The 21,697-nt window shown below is 43.6% G+C and overlaps 1 protein-coding gene and 1 pseudogene across 31 annotated transcripts in view; one reads left to right on the plus strand and one right to left on the minus strand.

The window, feature by feature from the left end:
• TCTN1 (tectonic family member 1) overlaps positions 1-21,697 on the plus strand; it is a 35,302-nt gene that overhangs the window by 10,949 nt on the left and 2,656 nt on the right. For 7 of the 31 annotated variants that reach the window (XM_006719594.4, NM_001173975.3, XM_011538734.4 and 4 more), the window contains 10 exons: positions 1,285-1,415; positions 3,690-3,841; positions 7,395-7,482; positions 9,593-9,702; positions 11,404-11,424; positions 15,306-15,440; positions 15,947-16,072; positions 16,465-16,550; positions 17,172-17,312; positions 19,890-20,052. In XM_006719594.4, the coding sequence (XP_006719657.1) occupies positions 1,285-1,415; positions 3,690-3,841; positions 7,395-7,482; positions 9,593-9,702; positions 11,404-11,424; positions 15,306-15,440; positions 15,947-16,072; positions 16,465-16,550; positions 17,172-17,312; positions 19,890-20,052 (1,153 nt within the window). Of the gene's footprint in view, positions 1-1,284; positions 1,416-2,852; positions 3,148-3,689; positions 5,181-7,394; positions 7,483-9,318; positions 9,387-9,592; positions 9,703-11,403; positions 11,425-15,305; positions 15,441-15,946; positions 16,073-16,464; positions 16,551-17,171; positions 17,313-19,889; positions 20,067-21,697 lie in introns of those variants that run through there. The other 24 variants (XM_017019964.2, NM_001173976.2, XM_011538735.3 and 21 more) reach the window with 16 other exon arrangements.
• On the minus strand, positions 568-840 carry RN7SL387P (RNA, 7SL, cytoplasmic 387, pseudogene; annotated as a pseudogene).

Below are 21,697 nucleotides of genomic sequence, written 5' to 3' on the forward strand. Positions count from 1 at the left end.
TAAAGACAAGGAATTTGGATCTATTCTGGGTACTTTTAAACAATCTGAAGGTCTGCAAAATTTTATCTAATTGATGCTATCAGAGTTTGTAAAGTTCACTGACATAAAAATTATACCCTGATCTACGTTCTTGACAAGATTTCCTTAAAGGTTATTCTACTTGTCTCAATTTTGTTTTTTTCTGTTAGAGGAAAAAGTTTTAAATGCCAAGCTTTTTCTTTTTTAAAAAGAGATGAGGATCTCACTATGTTGCCAGACTGGCCTCGAACTCCTAACCTCAAGTGAGCCTTGCATCTTAACCTCCTGAGTAGTTGGTAATACAGGTGCATGCTACTGTGACTGGCCCAAATGCAAAATATTTCAACACAGAATAAACTAAATAAAAATGGATTCAGCCAGCTGTGGTGACTCATGCCCAGCACTTTGGGAGGCTGAGGCAGGTGGATCATCTGAGGTAAGGAGTTTGAGACCAGCCTGGCCAACATGGTGAAACCCTGTCTCTAATAAAAATACAAAAATTAGCCAGGCATGGCAGTGCACACCTGTAGTCCCAGCTACTCGGGAGGCTGAGGCAGGAGAATCACCTGAACCCAAGAGGCAGAGGTTGCAGTGACCCGAGATCGTGCCACTGCACTCCAGCCTGGGAGAGTGAGGCTACATCTCAAAAAAAAGGATTCAATTTTTTTTTTTTTTTTGAGATGGAGTCTCACTCTGTCACCAGGCTTGAGTGCAGTGGCGCGATCTCGGGTCACTGCAACCTCTGCCTCTTGGGTTCAAGCGATGTTCGTGCCTCAGCCTCCCTAGTAGCTGGGATTACAGGCACCCACCACCACGCCCAGCTAATTTTTGTATTTTTAGTGGAGATGGGGTTTTACCATCTTGGCCAGGCTGGTCCCCATCTCCTGACCTTGTGATCCGCCTACCTCGGCCTCCCAAAGTGCTGGGATTACAGGTGTGAGCCACCGTGCCCAGCCGGATTCAATTCTAATATGCTTTCTTTTTTCTTTCTTTCTTTCTTTTTTTTTTTGTGAGACAGAGTCTTGCTCTGTTGCCCAGGCTAGAGTGCAGTGGCGCGATCTTGGCTCACTGCCAGCTCTGCCTCCTGGGTTCATGCCATTCTCCCGCCTCAGCCTCCCAAGTAGCTGGGACGTCATGCTTTCATAAATATCCTCCACGTAACTGTTAACATAGTACAGTACAAGCATCTGACAGTTTTAAAATAATTTTGCTAAGATTGTGTGCTTATGTCTTGTAACTTTGTATTATTATTTTTTTAATTTTCAGGGGCGACAGCCAGTTTTGTAGTCAAAAAGCAGTCATCTATTCATTGAATTTTACAGCAAACCCACCTCAAAGAGTATTTGAACTTGTTGACCAGATTAATCCATCTATTTTCTGCATTCATATTACAAACTGTAAGTATTTGACATTGATATATTTTGTGAAGCTCTGGAAAATTTTTCTCAAAGTTATGGAAAAATGTGTCAGATTTATTTTATAATTATGATTATGGTTTTTTTGAGACAGAGTCTTGCTCTGTCACCCAGGCTGGCGTGCAGTGGCGCAATCTCGGCTCACTGAAACCTCCACCTCCCAGATTCAAGTGATTCTCCTGCCTCAGCCTACTGAGTAGCTGGGATTACAGGTGCCTGCCACCATGCCTGGATAATTTTTGTGTGTGCGTGGTTTTTTTTTTTTTTTTTTTTTTTTGAGACGGAGTTTCGCTCTTGTTGCCCAGGCTGGAGTGCAACGGCTCAATCTCGGCTCATCACAAATCCTCTGCCTCTTGGGTTCAAGTGAGTCTCCTGCCTCAGCCTCCCAAGTAGCTGGGATTACAGGCATGGGCCACCATGCCTGGCCAGTTTTGTATTTTTAGTAGAGACGGGGTTTCTCCATGTTGGTCAGGCTGGTCTTGAACTCCCGACCTCAGGTGATCCACCTGCCTTGGCCTCCCAACGTGCTGGGATTACAGGTGTGAGCCACTGTGCCCAGCCCTATTATTACTATTTTTTCTTTCTTTCTTTTTTTTTTTTTTTTTGAGGCAGAGTCTCACTCTGTTGCCCAGGTTGGAAAGCAGTGGCACGTTCTCAGCTCACTGCAACCTCTGCCTCCCGGGTTCAAGTGATTCTCCTGCCTCAGCCTCCCGAGTAGCTGAGATTACAGGTACCTGCCACCACACCCAGCTAATTTTTTATTTTTAGTAGAGACAGGGTTTCACCATGTTGGCGAGGCTGGTCTCAAACTCCTGACCTTAAATGATCCTCCTGCCTCGGCCTCTCAAAATGCCGAGATTACAGGTGTGAGCTGCCTTGTCCAGCCCTCAGTTAGATTTAAAGCAATTATTCTGTTTTGCTATATGTATAGTGTATATCTTTAGAGACCATTTCACAGGTAATAGGAAGTAACTTTATAGACCTGTGGGCATGCACATTTTCTTTAAAAGTAATTATGATTGTGTAGTTGTCTTTCGAAACCGTATACTTATCTTAAAAGTGTTTATAATATGCAGACATACATAGGAATCTAGGTTTCTATATATACATGTGTTTTTTTAACTTTATTTCCTCCTGGTTTAATGGTTGAAAATCAGGCTCAGCTTTGAACATTACCTGTGGTTTCTATTTCCTTTTTTCTTTTATTTTTACTAAGAATATTTGCATGAAAACAGGATCTTTATTTTTATCTGAGCATTTAGCTCAAATATATGTCTAGATCCAAAGTACATGTACATGTAAAATGTTATCAGGATATCAAAGATCAGAGACACGTTTATGCTTTTATTTGTCAAATTCTGTCATATTTTCAGAATATCTTTATAGATTTTGGTTTTGTTCTCTTGTGATTGAAAACAGGCAGATGCTCTGTGTGATTTGTAATCTGAAGTGATAACTGGCCAGTGACTGTCAGGTTCTCTGTCGTAACACCAGCCCAGTGAACATGCCAGCCTGCTTCCTTCTCTCTCTTCTGTACACAGCACATTTTACTCCAGGACTTTCACGGTGGCTGTGTGAGAGTAGAAGTCGGATTCTTTCATTCCCATAGCCATCCGGAGAGAGCTTCTCCTTACAGGTTGATACAGCAAACTCATCAGTCCAGGGGCTAGAGAAATAGACGGATTATTATTGGCTTCTGTTGTGCTGTTTACTTGTAAGTGCTACAAACTATTACTTCCCCATTATTAGAAGAAGCAGGCTGAGTCTGGAGGTCCTGTTTGTTTAATAAGCTTTAAAAAATCCTGGGAGAAGTGAATATGGAAAAATACACTTTTTTTTTTTTTTTTTGAGATGAAGTCTCACTGTGTCACCCAGGCTGGAGTGCAGTGGCGCTATCTCAGCTCACTGCAACCTCTGCCTGCTGGGTTTCAGCGATTCTCCTGCCTCAGCCTCCCGAGTAGCTGGGATTACAGGTGCACACCACCATGACTGGCTAATTTTTGTATTTTTAGTAGAGACAGGATTTCACCGTGTTGGCCAGGCTGGTCTCAAACTCCTGACCTCAGGCAGTCCGCCCGCCTTGGCCTCCCAAAGTGTTGAGATTACAGGCGTGAGCCCATGCGCCCAGCCAAGACACTATTTGTTTTTTACATCAGCCTTGATGCTATTAAAAACTTTCCAAAACCTTTATATAGGTCATACATATTATACATATATTTTATACCGATTTAAAATACTGTTTTTTTTAAAAAACAGATAAACCTGCATTATCCTTTATTAATCCAGAAGTACCTGATGAAAACAATTTTGATACATTGATGAAAACATCTGATGGTTTTACATTGAATGCTGAATCATATGTTTCCTTCACAACCAAACTGGATATTCCTACTGCTGCTAAATATGAGGTGAGCCTGAACTTGATTGATTCTTTTCATCCCATCACAAATATCTTTCCTTGTAAGTTAATTTTCAAGGTTACCAGGAAAACTGGGTTCCTTGAGACAGAGTTGATATTATAGACTAAAAAACTTAATGTTCATGCCTACAAATCAAAGATCATGAAAATTAAAACTGAATATTTGAAGATGGATTAAAGACTTAAATGTAAGACCTAAAACCATACAAACCCTAGAAGAAAACCCAGGCAATACCATTCAGGACATAGACATGGGCAAAGACATCATGAGTAAAACAACCAAAAGCAATGGCAACAAAAGCCAAAATTGACAAATGGGATCTAATTAAACTAAAGAGCTTCTGCACAGCAAAAGAAACTATCATCAGAGTGAACGTGTGACCTACAGAATGGGAAAAAATTTTTGCAATCTATCCATATGACAAAGGGCTAATATCCAGAATCTACAAGGAACTTAAATAAATTTACAAGAAAAAAACAACCCCATCAAAAAGTGGGTGAAGGATATGAATAGACACTTTTCAAAAGAAGACATTTAAGTGGCCAACGAACCTATGAAAAAAGGCTCATCATCACTGGTCATTAGAGAAATGCAAATCAAAACTGCAATCAGATACCATCTCACGCCAGTTAGAATGACGATTATTAAGAAGTCAGGAAACAACAGGTGCTGGAGAGGATATGGAGAAATAGGAACGCTTTTACACTGTTGGGTGGGAGTGTAAATTATTTCAACCATTGTGGAAGACAGTGCGGCGATTCCTCAAGGATCTAGAACCTAAAATACCATTTGACCCAGCAATTCCATTACTGAGTATATACCCAAAGGATTATAAATCATTCTATAAAGACACACGCACACGTATGTTTATTGCAGCACTATTCACAATAGCAAAGACTTGGAACCAACCCAAATGTCCATCAGTGATAGACTGGGTGAAGAAAATGTGGCACATACACAACATGGAATGCTAAGCAGCCATAAAAAAGGATGAGTTCATGTCCTTTGTAGGAAACCATCATTCTCAGCAAACTAACATGGAACAGAAAACCAAACATCGCATGTTCTCACTCATAAGTGGGAGTTGAACAATGAGAACACATGGACACAGGGAGGGGAACATCACACACAGGGGCCTGTCAGAGGGTGGTGGGCTAGGGGAGGGGATAGCATTAGGAGAAACACCTAATGTAGATGATGGGTTGATGAGTGCAGTAAACCACCATGGCACGTGTATACCTACGTAACAAACCTGCATGTTCTGCACCCGTTATCCCAGAACTTAAAATATAATAATAAAAATAAAACTGAATATTTGAATTCTGAATAGAGGATTTAAGGTTGTTTATTCTGTGATAAACTTGTATTTTGTCTCTTCAGAGTTCTTTGTTCTCCTCAACCTTAAAAGATGCAGCAAAATGCTTGAGGCATGTTGCTGAGATCATGGAGTAGATTGGTTGGTTGTCTGGTCATCTTCTCAAAATTGTATTTAGTTTTACAGATTTTGGAAGATGTGTGCTGTTTTATGTCTATTCAGTAGTACACCTTTAAATGGGACACATATTAACTGAATGAACCTTAACTCTTTTGGAAGCATCTTTTTAAAAGCAAAGTATAAAAGCAACATGTACTAGTTCTAAAAGTTCAACATATAGAGGCATATAAGTTGAAAGATCCCTGTATCCATTAATATTCATACTGCAAATCACTTTGAAGAGATTGGTGTGTATTCTTCCTGATTTTTAAATATGTCTATTATAATGTATATATGGTGTTGTATAGAAGTGGGATTTATAGGTATCCACATTGTTCTAGAAAATTCCTTTTTCAGTGATAAATCATGTGCATCTTCCCATGTCAATATAAAATTTACCATTGAGCATTTTCCATGTGCCAGGCACTGTGAAGAGCTTTTCAGGCATTACTTCATGCACCCCCCTGGGAGGGATGCACCATTGTCTCCATTTACCTGATGAGAAAAACTTAGGCACAGGAAAGCAACTTGTCAGAACTAGTGATAGAGCTGCGTTGTTGTTGTTGTTGTTGTTGTTTTTGAGATGGAGTCTTGCTGTGTCGCCCAGGCTGGAGTGCAGTGGTGTGATCTTGGCTCACTGCAACCTCCGCCTCTCAGGTTCAAGCAATTCTCCCACCTCAGCCTCCCAAGTAGCTGGGATTGCAGGCACCTGCCATCATGATCAGCTAATTTTTGTATTTTTGTAGAGATGGGGTTTCACCATGTTGGCCAGGCTGGTCTTCAGCTAATTTTTGTATTTTTGTAGAGACGGGGTTTCACCATGTTGGCCAGGCTGGTCTTGAACTCCTGACCTCAGGTAATCCGCTCGCCTCGGCCTCCCAAAGTGCTGGGATTACGATGTGAGCCACTGCACCCAGCCCTAGAGCTGTAGTTTACAAAATATTCTTGGCTGGGCATGGTGGCTCACGCCTATAATCCCAGCACTTTGGGAGGCCGAGGCGGGCAAATCACTTGAGGTCAGGAGTTCCACACCAGCCTGGACAATATAGTGAAACCCCATGTCTACTAAAAATACAAAAATTAGCTGGGCGTGGTGGTGCGTGCCTGTAGTTCCAGCTACTTGGAAGGCTGAGGCATGAGGATCGCTTGAACCCAGGAAGCGGAGGTTGCAGTGAGCTGAGATCATGCCACTGCACTCCAGCCTGGGCAATAGAGCAAGACTCCATCTCAAAAACAAACAAACAAACAAAGCCAAAATATTATTTTCTGTGTATGTATCTGAGCTGTTCCACTCTTAACAGACATGTTTCCAGTTTTTGCTGTTATCCACAATGAACATTCTCATATATACATACATTTTTGTACACTTCACTGATTAAATCCTTAGGATACATTCCTATAAATGAGTTAGTTTGGTAAAAATGAATGGAAAATTTAAATATTGATACCAGATTGCCCTCCAGAAAAATTGCAGTGCTTTACACTCCCAGCTCCAGTGAGTGGAAGGAGTTGTTTCCCATACTCCTGCTGGCACTAAAGCATTTGGATAAACTTTCAAGTTCGAGAAAATTGGCTATAAGCCTAATAGCTATTAATCTGGGTTTTGAAGATTGGAAAATAATTTTGTGGGGTTTGGTTTTGGGAAAGAAGGCATTCTTTCATAAAACTGATTTATAAAAAATTGATTTTTATGATTTTAATGTATACTGTATATGTTATTTAAATAATTAATGCTAGCGAAAAATAATTCTCTCAACCCTGTGTCCAGCCACCTAGTTCCTGTCTGCAGAGGCAGATCGTTATGTCATTGTCTCATGTACCCTTCCAGAGGAATTCCATGACTAAGAAGCCTGCAAATACAGTAACATGCACATACAGAAACACATCCTTTTAAAAATGGCGACACAACTAGATGTGAGCTTCTTGAGGGCAAGGACCACATCTGTTTTTTGCTCATCAGTGTGTCTCTGATGCCTGCAGTGCTGCTTGGCACATTGTGGGTGCCCAGTAAGTGTTGAATGAATACTTTAATTACACCATAACGACTGTTGGTTGTTGTGTTTGCAGTATGGGGTTCCTCTGCAGACTTCAGATTCGTTTCTGAGATTTCCTTCGTCCCTGACATCATCTCTGTGCACTGATAATAACCCTGCAGGTAAGAAAGTGGTCATTCTTCTTTCCTTAGACATTTGCTGTTATTATTAGGTTGGTGGAAAAGTAGTTGCGGTTTTTGCCATTAAAAGTAATGACCAAAATCGCAATTATTTTTGCACCAACTTAATACTTTACATTTGTAGTAGTCATCATTAAACAGGCCTCGTAACTAAAAACAGAATCTTCGGGTTAAAAGAGGCCTCAAAGGTCACGTAGTTCAATTTCTCACCCAGGGCCAGTCTTTTCTACCACATGCAGTCACTGCTTGAGCACTTGTAGTGATGGGGAACTGACTACCTGAAAACAGCTCACTCAATTGTTTAACACTTCCAGTTGTTGGAAAGTTCTAAAGCATATCAACAGCTAACCATTATTAAGCACATATTGTGTGCTGGGTATTGTGTTAAGTGCTTGTATGTGTTTTCCCTTAAATACTCTCTGTAATCCCTTGAGGCCAGGTTAGTATCTCCATTTTTTAGAGCAGGAAACAGAGATGTACAGTTTCTTGTTCAGGCTCACTCAGGTGGTGGTGGAACAGGAATGGACCCCATGCAGTTGGCCTGCAGCCTGTGCTCCCCTATGCTCCTCTCCATTCAGGAGCCTCCAAGAGTTTGCAGAATGGCCCCCTAGGCAGTGGAAGGCAGCAGGCTTGGCTCTCCCATCCCCAAGGGGCCTCACTATGAAGAAGCTAAGTAATGGACGATAGGAATGTATTCTGTATTCTGCTGAAAAGACAAATGTATTCTGCTGAAAAGACAATCTTGCACACACGAAGAACAGTGTAAATTAAAACCAAACCAAAGGCTGGGTGTGGCGGCTATGCCTGTAATCCCAGCACTTTGGGAGGCTGAGGTGGGCAGATTGCTTGAGATTAGGAGTTTGAGCCTGGGCAACATAGTGAAACCCTGTCTTTATAAAAAATACAAAAATTAGCCAGACATAGTGGTGCACATCTGTAGTTCCAGCTACTCAGGAGGCTGAGGTAGGAGGATTGCTTGAGCCAGGGAGGTGGAGGTTGCAGTGAGCTGAAATTGCACCACTGCACTCCATCCTGGGTGACAGAACAAGACCCTGTCTCAAAGAAAAAAAAAAAAGAAAACAAAACCAAAAACAACTCCCCCTCCCCCACAACAAAACCTAAAAACCAAACTGAGATACCATTTTCCCCTGTCAGATTGGCAAAACTCAAAAAAACTGAAGCTGTGGGGAAACAGGCAGTCCACCTACATAGCTGGTGAGACTGTAAATTGGTACAACCTTGGTGAAGGGCAATTTAGCAATTTGTATCCAGATTAGAAATGAATGTGCTCTTCAACCCAGCTGTTCTACTTCCAGGAGTTGATCCTACAGAAATGCTGGCCAATATGCAAAATAATAGATTGCAGCATTGTTGGTGGTAGCAAAGATGGAGACAACTTAAGTGTTCATTAATAGGGAACTGGTATAATAATTATGCCACATCTATAATACTAATTATCCCCAAGAAAGGAGGAGCTGCTTCATGTAAAGACAGGCCAATCTCCAAGATATATTGTTCAGTAAACAAAATGAGGGGCAGAATAGTGTATATATTGTACATTTGTTTCCAAAAGGGGAAAGAAATAATAATAAAAATATATGTATGTTTTTTACACACATATTTGTTTTTATTTCCATAGAATATTTCTAGAAAGAGACACAAGAAGCCTCATGCCAGTTGCCTCTGGAGAAGGGGACTGGTGGTAGCTGGGGGGCAGGACAAGAATTGGAGGGGGATTTACTCATTATCTTTTTGTGCTTTTTGAATTTTGAATCTCATGAATGTATTCTTTTTGAAAAATAATTTAAAACATTGTAGGCCAGGCGTACTGGTTCACACCTGTAATCCCAGCACTCTGGGAGGCCGAGGCGAGAGGATCACTTGAGGTGAGGAGTTTGAGACCAGTCTGGGCAACACGGTGAAACCTTGTCTCTACTAAAAAAACAAAACAAACAACAACAAAATTGTATATCTGTGTTGTAACTTATTTTACAGTTTTACCTAGATTAAAACTTTTTAGTTGCCATTGGAAAATTGAAAAATTTCTTCTCTTTTGTATTTTTTTTTCCTTGGGAATGTTAATGATTTCTAGCGTTTCTGGTGAACCAGGCTGTTAAGTGCACCAGAAAAATAAATTTAGAACAGTGTGAAGAAATTGAAGCCCTCAGCATGGCTTTTTACAGCAGCCCGGAAATTCTGAGGGTAAGAATTATTTTGAAGTGGAACTTACTCATTAGGTATGTTTCTGTTCTTTCTGCGCTTTTAAAATATGACAAGTACAGAATAATTTCAGTACATGATTGACACTCGAGTTTAAATTTCTCCAGTACTTTTATATCAGTGATTATTGAAATAATCCTTTAAATAATTTTTATTTTTTTATAGTTAGCTCATATTTTGCTTTTGTTGATTTTTTTCTTTCATTCATTTTGATGGTAACCAATATCTGTCTCCTGAATAAAAACAAATCTTTACGAATAACTAAAAACTTTAGAAATCATAAAAACATCTTCATGTCTGTGACAGAAATAATCTTATTAGCCCCAAAAAGGGCTCCCTCTCAGAAACAGGCCAGAAAAGAAGAGGAAATCCACTTTCTGGTTGGCAGATGACACAGGCAGTCAGGAAAGAACAGGAAATGGGAGAAGTGGGCACAATGGTGAAGGGGCCCCTTCTCTCTGGTTACAGTGACTGAACCCTAAACTGAAGAAATGATGAGGCCACTGGCCCACATGACAGATGAGATGGAGGGTGGCAAGGGAAGAAGACCTTTTTCAATGATTAAAAACCATATGATAGGCTGAGGCAGGAGGATCACTTGAGGCTAAGAGTTCAAGAACCAGCCTGGGCAACATAATGAGACCCTGTCCCTACAAAAAATAATAAAAAAAAACCTTTTGTGTCATGGTTGTGCACACCTGTGGTCCCAGCTACTCAGGAGGCTAAGACAGGAGGATCACTTGATCCTAAGAGGCTGAGGTTGCAGTGAGCTGAGGTTGCAGTGAGCTAAGGTTGCAGTGAGCTATGATCGCACTCCAGCCTGGGTGACAGAGTGAGACCTGGTCTCTAACAAAACAAAACAACTGCCCCGCCAGAAACATACGATTATTGTCAAAGGGGTCCCCTTCCCAATTTCCTTTTTATGAGGGGTACAGGGGTAGGGTGGTTCATGGCACCATTATTTATCTGGACCTCAGTTTTTAGGATCAAATTTAACCTTTCCCTCTCCCCTCATTTTCTCTCTCCCTCTCTTGTGTAAGTCAGCCATCTAGGCTTGTGAATTCTTCTAGTTAGCTTGAGCTCACAGTTGTCTTGAAGCAATTCCTTGGGCATCCAGGTACAGTTCTCTTTCAGCACAGGTCTCTCCAAACAGGTCTATTTGTCTCCCTCCCCACGTTTCTCAGTGGGCCCTTCAGAAAGAAAGCTGCAGCTCTACTGGGGAGGCAAGAGCTTGTCATTGAGGAGGCTTGGGCCAGAGGCAGGAAGACCAGTTAGGAGTCTGTGGAAATCGCCTGGGCAAGCAATGGTGGCCTTCCAGCAAGGACAGGTGCAGTGAGAGTGACCAGGAGTGCAAGAACTGTGCTTCCCACAGTGCTTATGGCCGTGAGACCATGTGGAAATATACAATAATGACCCTGGAGCATGGAGCCTTCCTGAGACTAGCTTGGTGAGCTTCTACCTGGAGGAAATGAAGATAGAAGGAAAACGCAATGTGACCTCTTTGATTAGGACATAGATTCAAACACATGCAGATGGGGAGTCTTGATCAAGGAAATTCTGTTTTCTTCTTTGTGAAGCCTTTAATAAGATGAATATACTCTTCAACTCGAGATCTGAAAAAGCAATGAAAATACTTCTTTTTGTTGTACTTAACACAATTTTTTGTGGTTTCTTTTTATCTAGGTACCTGATTCAAGAAAAAAGGTAAGAGTATTTATTTATTTTTGTAATAGAAAGTAGGATAGTTTATAATACTGTCTTATTTCTGAGCCCTTTTAAATGAATACAGTTACAATTAGAAGGGGACCTTGTTGCTAATAGCAAATACATTTGCCAAAAAGCAAGCAGAAGTGCAATAGGGAAACTCCTTAGTGGGAGTCACACTTCTGGGCTTCCCAGCTGCCTCTGTTGTTGTGGTTTTGTACTCTTCCATGGTTCAGTGACACCACTGTCGTGACCAGCAGTGGGTATGATTGACTTCTGGACATTCAGGCTATCCCTTGCTCCCTTCTTAGTCTCTTGTTAAGAAAGCTGTCCAGCTCCCAGGATGCTGCCCGTCCAGGGCAGAAGCCATAAGCACTTTGGCCAGTGGGTGTCCATACCGCGTGGGAGGCGTGCCCCGTGGTATACCTTCAGGGCTTTATTTGAGGGTGGGTTCTTTTCAAAGCCTTATCGCCCCAGCCCAGGGTTCTACTTGATTGTGGTCAGGATGTCAGGGTCTCTTCGTGGCTATGTCAGAAGGAATGTGGATCCCTCACCCCTTATTCTAGGGTTTGCACCCTAGGTCTGCCTGTGAACACAGTCCCCATGGAGGCCTGAGTTGGTGGCTTTGTCATAGTTTCCCACCCTGTGGAACTGGCCAGCCTAGGTTCAAACCTCAGCTTTGCCATTATTTTCTTGTCGGACTGACACCGTGGTCTCCCTTTGTTGAGTGGATGGTAAGCGTCCGTGCAGAGGCATGACACAAGGCCAAGTGGGAGAAGCACATGAGGTGCTGGTGCGGCATCTGCGCATGGGATGCACTCGGGATGGGGATGCACTGGCTGTGATTGACTTCACTGATGCTCTGCACACAAACATGTTTGAGGGAGATGTTTGAAAGGAAATAGCCATGTGACTTTGGGTCTCACACAACGGTGTGTGAGGCTGGATCCTGTCTTCTGTGAAGGGTGGGAAGACCTATTATGAGGAATGATGGATGTTACTTGTGTTTTCAAACTTGTTTTAGTTATAGAGACCCTTTCTTAAATGCAGTCTGAAGTGGAACCCTCTCTAGAGTGTAACACACAGACTGAATGTGGAGCTGTGCTGGTTGGAGCAGGGATGGGGCCTGAAGCCCTCCACCTGCCCAGTCTCCTTCTCTCTCCTCTTTGGTCCCAGTGAAGAACCCTAGGGCTCCCAGGAATGCAGTGTGAAAGTCATGCAATGGGCTAGCTCTCACCTCCCTCCAACCCCTAGAGAGTGCTTGGATTTTACCACTCAAAACTGGAACCGTCTGTGGGGGCAGCAGCCCTATCAGCCTTGTTCATGATATATCCTTATTTCTAACGCAGCGTCCAGTAGGTACTGGGCACTCAATGAGTTACGCATTTAGTGATGAATGACTAGGAAGGAGGTGGGTCCATTCAGGGTGGGAAGACCTATTATGAGGAATGTGATGGATGTTACTGGAAGGCTTGGAGCAGGTGCCAGGACTGTTCTAAGTGCTGTATGTGTCTGACGTCTTTGAATCCTCTTGGCTGTCCTAGGAGGTAGGTTCAGTTACTGTCACTCTCTGGCAGATGAGTCACAGGAGATGAATGAGCTGCCCATGGCTGCACAGCTGGGAAGTGGCAGAGCTGGGACAGGGATCTAGGTGGTCTGGCCCCAGGGACCTTATACTTTACCACCATACTGGGCCAGCTCTACTCTGTGAGCCCATGTGACAGGCTTCACACACCTTCCTTCTTTGCATCCTGTGGCCACACAGGACGTGGCAGACTGGGACTTCCAACTTAGGTCTGTGTGACACCAAAGGTTGTGCTCTAAAGGACAAGCATGTAAACTAATAGTAGGAATTTGTTTAAAATTTTCTTAAAAAGCAGATTTTAAGGTTAGAGGATCAGGAGTATAGAAATTGGGTCTAATCTCCCCACTAAGTGAAGACTGTTATGATTGCCTGGAATCATTGTCAGTATCTGTGGAGCCATCAGTGAAAGATTCCAGGGTAGCCCTGTAGTTTCATTGAGTATGCTGGAGTTCTTTACCAGTGTGTGTGTGGTTTGGGAATGGTATGTGGTAGAAGAGGAATCAAGGAAATCAGCACAGCGCTACTGTTTCCTTCTCGGGACAGTTGAGTGAGCTGTCGAGACGAGGGCAGCTCCTGCCATTGACACCAGGACTCTCCAAAGCTCATTGACACTGAATCCTTCGGTTTTTGCCAATTCCACGCACACACCATGGAAGTGGCTCCAGCAGAGGCTGGTATGGCAGGCTATGCTCTTTCTTGGAACCCGGTGTCATTGCTGAATCAGGGGCCACTATGCTCAGAGTAAGGAACCCGGGGTTGCCCTTGTGTTAAACAAGAGCTAATTGAATAACAGCCTAGGACCCCCTCCATGCTGAAACCCCTTGGTGCGGCATGTTATGCAGAGGGCCTCACAGTGACTAGCATTGCCCTTCTGCCATTCTCGTCACATGACAGCTCACGTCTTTGTTACTGAGTCATGTCACTTTCTTCTATGAGAGGTTTTGACTCGCAGGTCTTCTTGGTCATGGGAGCAGACACATAAGGACTGCTTATTTATCTCTAAAATAACTGCTTAAATACTTGGTCATTTTGAATTATAAACAGCATGGTGCATGATTGAGTGCAAGTTCAAAGTGGTATAAACAACTGTTAATAGATACATGAGGCTCCTTCCTCAACAGTGGTTTCTAAGAATTGAAGTTTAGAGCAAATGACAGATTCATCCTATAGTACGAGGAGGCTCAGCTACCTTTAGAGGATGGCTTGATGCCTTGTTACTCTGCTGGTGGTGGCCATGAATGCAAAACGTCCTTTAATAGCACTGGGATAAGCAGGGCTTCCCTGGTGCTGCTGAAAATGTTTGTCTGTGTCTGTTTTTTGTTGCTCATAATCCTACCACCCAGAGAAACCACTGTGTGTGTGTGTGTGTGTGTGTATGTGTGTGTGAGCGTGCTTGCGCTTGTATAGAAGTTGTGTATAAATTGGGTCAAATGAATATTCGGGGGTGTGTGGGGGCTTAAGGATATATATCCTGGGACTGCATGTGAATGTGCATGTGTGGGTATGGAGTGTGTAGGAGTTGTGTTTTGGAGGTGAGGATATATATGTGTGCTTGACAGTGTGATGGAGTTTTGTGTGTATTTGAGATATAATTCATATACCATAAAACTCACCATTTTAAAGTATACAATTCTGTGGTTTTTAGTATAGTCACAGGTTGTGCAACCATCACCACTAATTCCGGAACATTTCCATCACCCCAAAAAGGAGCCTTGTGTTAGCAGTCACTCCTCATTCTTCCCCAGCTTTGTCCCCCATCCCCTGGCAACCACCGATCTACTTTTCGTCTCTATGGGTTTGCCTATTTGGACATTCCGTATAAATGGAATTAGAACTGTGGCCTTTTGTGTCTGGCTTCCATGACTTAGCATGTTTTTAAGATTCATCTGTACTGTGGCATGTATTAGTACTATTTTTAGGGATGAGTCATATGCCTTTGTAAGGCTAGACTTTGTATTTATCCATTCATCAGTTGATGGACATTTAGGTGGTTTTTGGTTTTAGCTATTTTGATAGTGCAGCTGTGAACATTTGTGTACAAGTTTTTGTGTAAACTTTATGTTTTCAGAGGTAACTACTTTTAAAGTTTTGGTTATATCCTCTCAAGTATTTTCTTTGTGAATGTATATATGTTTATTACTTTTGCAAATGTGGATCATAGTATATACACTGTTGTGTAGCATGCTTCCCCCTACTTGGCCATATATCAGGGGAGGTTTCTTTCCAGTTGGTTGGTTATTTTAGCCCATCCTCCCTGGGTAGAGCATCTTCAACACTCCAGGTCTTCACTCTGCAGGTCCCTATCACTGTTCAGTCCATCGTCATTCAGTCTCTAAATAAAACGCTCACCCGACGGGAGGACACTGATGTGCTGCAGCCGACTCTCGTCAACGCTGGACACTTTAGCCTTTGCGTGAATGTTGTTCTTGAGGTAGGTGCCGAGTTTGGCTTTGAGAGCTTGTCTGTGGCAGACTTAAGCCTCTTGTTGCGCCGGGGTAACTGGACGCCCTCCGAGGACGCTCTGTCCCAGCCCATGGTGTGGCTTTTCTTGGCTCAGCTGCCTGCTTGTCTTTCTGCTGTCTCATCAAAGGACACCTCTTGTCTCCACAAACTTAGTGACTTGCCGGAATACATCAAAATATTTTTGTTGTTGCTGTTTTTGTTTTAACATGTTTCCTCTGCAGAGATAGGCTTATTGCATTCTGCTTGGACCAGCTTATGTGGAACTTCTGTAATTGGGCAGAGTGGCTCAGATGACCCTGTCTGCTAGGGGTGGTGCTGAGGGAACACCTCTCATAATCCAACTGGACAGCAGAGCAAGGCTTCAACACATGGAGAAACAGGGAAAGATTTGCTATCTATGGGTGTTTTCAGTTATTCATACAGCTTCTGAAATGTAATGGAACAGGTATATTTGGAGTATCATTTTGTTTTTAGGTAAAGTACAGCCTCACATACACAGATGCAGGTGAAGTCACCAAAGCTGATCTCTCATTCGTTCTGGGGACAGTTAGCAGCGTAGTGGTCCCACTGCAGCAAAAGTTTGAAATTCATTTTCTTCAGGTAAGGTTGATCAATTTGGCATAAGTATTTAATTGCCAAGTTAAAAAGAAATAATGACTTCTCAGTGGATAAAACTGAATTTCTAAGTATTACATCCAAGCCTTTGTAGTGAACAGAGGGCTTTGTGTAGCCTGTGCATTTGTAATGAAACCAAGCATTCTCCTTGTATCTTTTTTCCTTTTGGGAAAAGATTCCCTTCCACATTAGCTTGTTCTTTTACAGTATGATGTACTCCTACACCTGGCAGATGTATTTATAGTTCTGAGTAGGGAGGGAGAAATTCTTTTATTGGTTGGTAATTCCATATTTTATTATGAAAGAAGAATTTTTCTTCCTGCCATTTCCTTATTAAAATGAGAATTATTTGGGGGCATTTCTGCATTGTCTTTCAGGAAAATACCCAGCCAGTCCCTCTCAGTGGAAACCCTGGTTATGTCGTGGGGCTCCCATTAGCTGCTGGATTCCAGCCTCATAAGGGATATCCTTTTTGGTTCTGTAGAGGGTGGATTTATTTCTCTCTCCATGTGCGTGGGCTGCACTGCTCTTTATCGCTGAGGCTCCCCTGGGCTGCTTGTGGGAAGGAGAGAGCAGTCCAGGCCGAGCTTCCTGCAGGCGGCTCTGGTGGGCGGCCAGTCTGGCTACACAGCAGGTGGGCTGGGGGGAGACTGGCAGTTGGGGGTGAGACAGCACGTCCTGGGAAAATGTCAGTGTTTTTTTTTTTTAATCTCCTTTTTTTTTTCAGCCTGCCATTAAGCCACAAAATATGTCAGTGTTTTACAACGAAAATCTTAAGAGAGAAAAGTTGACATTTAAATGTTTTTAATTTCACATTTAAACAGACACTCCTAAACAGATGTAGTGATTTTGAAAATTTAGAATTTCAAAGGGCCAGTTTCTGAGAATTTTTCTTCTGAGAATCCATTTATTAAGGAAAATAGAACTGTTTTTTTGCCTGCTCCTGGGAAATAGCTGTCAAAATCCCAGAGGCCCAGAAAAAGTGTATTTGGGTCTCCCTCATGTCACACAAGTGACACTGTCTTCTTACCTGAGAACCAGGCTGCTCTAGCACTAGGCAGTTGTCCCTTAACTGTCTGTGAATGTCTGGGATTATTCAGACCACAAATAGATATGGACAGCTTACTATTCTTCATAGCACAACTGAGCAAGACTGCTTAGCACTGGAGGGGGTCCGGACCCCAGTATTATTTGGTTACACTATGCAATCTGGCTGTAAACTAAGGTAAAAGAGTCACTTGTTTCTGTTTGAACTTGTGCTGATCAGAAAACAAAGCATTCTCACTTTTCCCCATTTTAATCAAATCTCTGCATCAGCTGATGAGCTCACATGAAAGCCACATATAGTATATCATCATGCATGAATAGTAGCAAAACTGTTACAATCATTTTTGTTATTAAATACGGCAAAGCAAAAATTTCAAGGCTTTGTATGTTTCTTTTTCTTTTTTTAAGAGATGGGGTCTCGCTCTGTCTCCTAGGCTGGAGTACAGTGGTGCCATTATAGCTCACTGCAGCCCTGACCTCCTGGGCTCAAGGGATCCCGCCTCAGTCTCCCAAGTAGTTGGGACTACAGGCATGCACCACCACATCCGGCTTTTTTTTTTTTTGAGACAAAGTCTCCCTCTGTCACCCAGTCTGGAGTGCAGTGGTATAATCTCAACTCACTGCAACCTCTGCCTCTGGGTTCAAGCAATTCTCCTGCCTCAGCCTCCTGAGTAGCTGGGACTACAGGCATGTGGCAACATGCCCAGCTAAATTTTGTATTTTTAGTAGAGACGGGGTTTCACCATGTTGGCCAGGCTGGTCTCAAACTCCTGACCTCAGGTGATCTGCCTGCCTTGGCCTCCCAAGGTGCTGGGATTACAGGTGTGAGCCACCATGCCTGGCCTAATATTTTTGAATTTTTTTTTTTTTTTGTAGAGACAGGATCTCACTATGTTGCCCAGGCTGATGTTGAACTCCTGGGCTCAAGCAGTCCTCCCATCTCAGCCTCCTAAAGTGCTGGGATTACAGGTGTGAGCCACTGTGCCTGGCCTGTATGTTTCATTTTTAAGGTTGTTTAGCATTTGAGTTCACAGCAAAAATATTTCCCCTGACAATATTTCCTGTGTTTCTCAATTTTAATATACACAGCACATCAAAACCAGTGAGAGGAAGCCTGAATATGATCTGTTTTTATCTTATCAAATATGTACATAATGTAAAATATCAAACAGCGCTGCGCAGCTTGTTATAAAAATAGTTCTTACCCTCATTTGCCCCACCTTGGAGGCAACCACTTTCAACTCTTGTAGCTGTTTTTTTCAAATTCTACCCCCAAATCTTGAAATAACCTGCATATAATGCTACTTCTTGATTTTTTTGGTTTTATGAATTTTTTATTGTTTCCATTAAGGAAGACAAAGGTTTGGCTCTTTCCCCTTCATCCCCTACCTCATGACCCACACACTTCCCACATCTTCCCAGGGTCATTGGATCATTATTTTGGTTAGACCAATATTTACCATTTACTTATATTATTTTTTGAGACAGGGTCTCCCCCTGTTGCCCAGGCTGGAGTGCAGTGGCGTGATCAGGCTCACTGCAGCCTTGGCCTACAGGCTCAAGCAATCCTCCTGCTTCAGCCTCCTAATAGCTGGGACCACATGCGGGTACCATCACACCTGGCTAATTTTTAAAATTTTGGTAGAGACAGGGTCTCCCTTTGTTTCCCAGGCTGGTCTCGAACTCCTGGGCTCAAGTGCTCCTCTTGCTTCAGCCTCCCAACATGTTGGGATTACAGGTGTGAGCCAGCACATCCAGCCACCATTTACATTATTAGTTCTGATCCATTTAGACCAGCATTTCTCAAAGGGAGAGGGTTCCATGGAATACATTTCCACAAGACATCAGTAGGGGTAGGTCTGTGGTCCAATACGTTTGGGAAACACCAAATTAAAGTTAAAACAATGGTTCCTTCCTGTATTACTCATCAGAGCCTTTAATAGGCAAATGTGCCTCAGGAGGGACATGGGGATGTGGAGGTTCAATGCTTCCCCAACTTTGGCCATGAAACCCTTCTTGTACAGATCTTCAGTGGAACACAGTTTGGGAAACACTGTTTTAGACTCATCATCTCACAGGTAAAGATTTTGCAAAGTTAGAGACTCTTTAGCTTCTGTCAGATAATCCCTCATTTGGAGAATGAGAAGATAATGAAACTGGGAAGGAATGGAACTGCTCGTGGGGCTGAGAGCAGTGGCTCACGCCTGTAATCCCAGCACTTCGGGAGGCTGATGTGGGCAGATCACCTGAGGTTGGGAGTTCGAGACCAGCCTGGCCAACATGGTGAAACCCCGTCTCTACTAAAAATACAAAAAAATTAGCCAGGCATGGTGGTGGGCACCTGTAGTCCCAGCTACTCAGGAGGCTGAGGCAGGAGAATCACTTGAACCTGGGAGGCGGTGGTTGCAGTGAGCCAAGATTGCCTCACTGTACTCCAGCCTGGGCAACAGAGCAAACTCCATCTCAAAACAAAACAAAAAAACCAAAAATCAAAACTTAAAAAACAAAAAACTGCTGGTGGGCTGGGTGTGGTGGCTCACTCCTGTAGTCCCAGCACTCTGGGAGGATTGCATGAGCCCAGGAGTTTGAGGCTGCAGGGAGCTATGATGGTGCCACTGCACTCCAGCTTGGGCATCAGAGTGAGACCTTATCTCAAAAATAAATAAACAAAGGGAAGGAAAGGAAGAAGAAAATGAAAAACTGCTGGTGGATGAACAACAGCCTCATTCAGTTGACTTCTTTTTCCTTCACCAAGACTGACTGGAGCTCTCCCGTGTCAGCTCGTAGCACAGAAGGTGAAGAGCCTGCTGTGGGGCCAGGGCTTCCCAGATTACGTGGCCCCTTTTGGAAATTCCCAGGCCCAGGACATGCTGGACTGGGTGCCCATCCACTTCATCACCCAGTCATTCAACAGGAAGGTAAAGGGGAGAAGGTACAGGTTCCATGCTAGTGGTCTCTGTCTTCCAGGTGGTGTGATGAAGGCAGCCGGGGAAGCCAGCTGTTAAGGAGGCAGGATGGCCCTGAGTGGGAGCGCGGGCTGAATCTTGGATACTGATTTTTGCCCCTTGTTAGCAATGTTGCCTCTGGCCAGCAGTTTTATGGCTTTGAGCCTCTGTTTTCATCTGTGAAATGGGAACGCTAGTCAATAGTGAGTGAATGGCCTCATGGGGCATTGAGAGGGTTAAGTGAGGTAACATTTATGTGGCCCTGGGCATGGTGCCTAGTGGTCCATAAATGGGAACCTCTGTGATCCTCATCCTGTTGCTACCATCATTGTGATTGCTGGTGTCCCCCGAGCCCTCTCCAGGCATCTCATGACACGATAGACGAATGTTGAGTCCTGTATCAAAGACTGAGACTGACTTCCGTGCATGTGGCTCTCCCACCCATTGTCCCCTGTTCTACACAGGCAGCCCACACCTGAGAGTTTTCACTGCCACAGTTCCTCACAGAGTTGAATGGAAGTTGACAATCCTACAGATAGGTTCCCGGTCACACATGATGCTTCTGCCCACCTTTTTCTTTTGTCTTAGCAGTCAGCGTGTGGGCCGGCCCTGGCCCAGGGGCGTGCTCTCCATCTTAGCCTGTAATTGCCCAGCTTGTTCTTGTCACGCTTTCTTCAGACCTCTCATTATCCGCTCCGAATATTTCTAGCATGGGCATAACGGGGGTGAGGACTGCTCACTTCTCTGATCCGCCCTCCCACCGAGGCCAGCAGAGACCCGGGATTACTCAGTCCCTGCCGTTCCACTGCGAAGTCTTGACTCAACTCTCCCACCAGAACCAGGCACATCGCTTCTGGCTTCTTGGCCATGGGTGAAGATGTGCAGTTATTACTCCTCCTCAGAAGGGAAGACATGGGTTGGGAGGAGAGGCAGCAGTGCGCACATGGCACCGTCAGGGTCTGTGCTGATCCTGGGTGCTCAGAGGGCCTGCAGCAGCAGGTTTTGTACCAACTCTGCCGGCAACCCAGGTAGAGGCAGGCACGAGCACCTGCTAAACTCAGTTTCCACCAGCTGCATGCTGCATTGTCTCCTAAGAACAGGGTATTCGAGAGGATTGTTCAGTCTGCATGGTTTTTAAAGGCGGTTCCAAGCTAAGGAATTCCATCAGTGCTTTTTTCGCAGCCACCAAATTTAGCAGGCCTGTGAGGTTTTCATATCCTGAAGAGATGTATTTTAAAGCTTTTTTTTTTTAATGAAAAAATGTCAGACACACACAAAAGTAGAATAGTACCATGGAGTCCCCACGTACCCAGCCTGCAGCTTCAACAGTTACCACATTTGCCAACCGGAGAGACTGCCAAGGCAGGAAAAAGCCCTGGAAAGCCCACGGCCCCTTTTTCCCTTGGGTCAGAGGCCTTAGAGCTGGCTGCCAAAGCAGCCAACCAAAGGGGCAGCTCAGCTCCTTCGTGGCACCAGCAGTGTTCCTGATGCAGTTGAAGAGTTGATGTCTTTGACAACATACGGACACTGCCTGGATTACCTAGATGTCACATCTTAATTGCCAATTGATGAAATTAGGTAAATGAAAAGAAAGCACTTAAATTTCCCCTTAGAGCAT

The sequence above is a fragment of the Homo sapiens genome, chromosome 12 (genome assembly GCF_000001405.40).
Source record: "Homo sapiens chromosome 12, GRCh38.p14 Primary Assembly".
Taxonomy (NCBI): domain Eukaryota; kingdom Metazoa; phylum Chordata; class Mammalia; order Primates; family Hominidae; genus Homo; species Homo sapiens.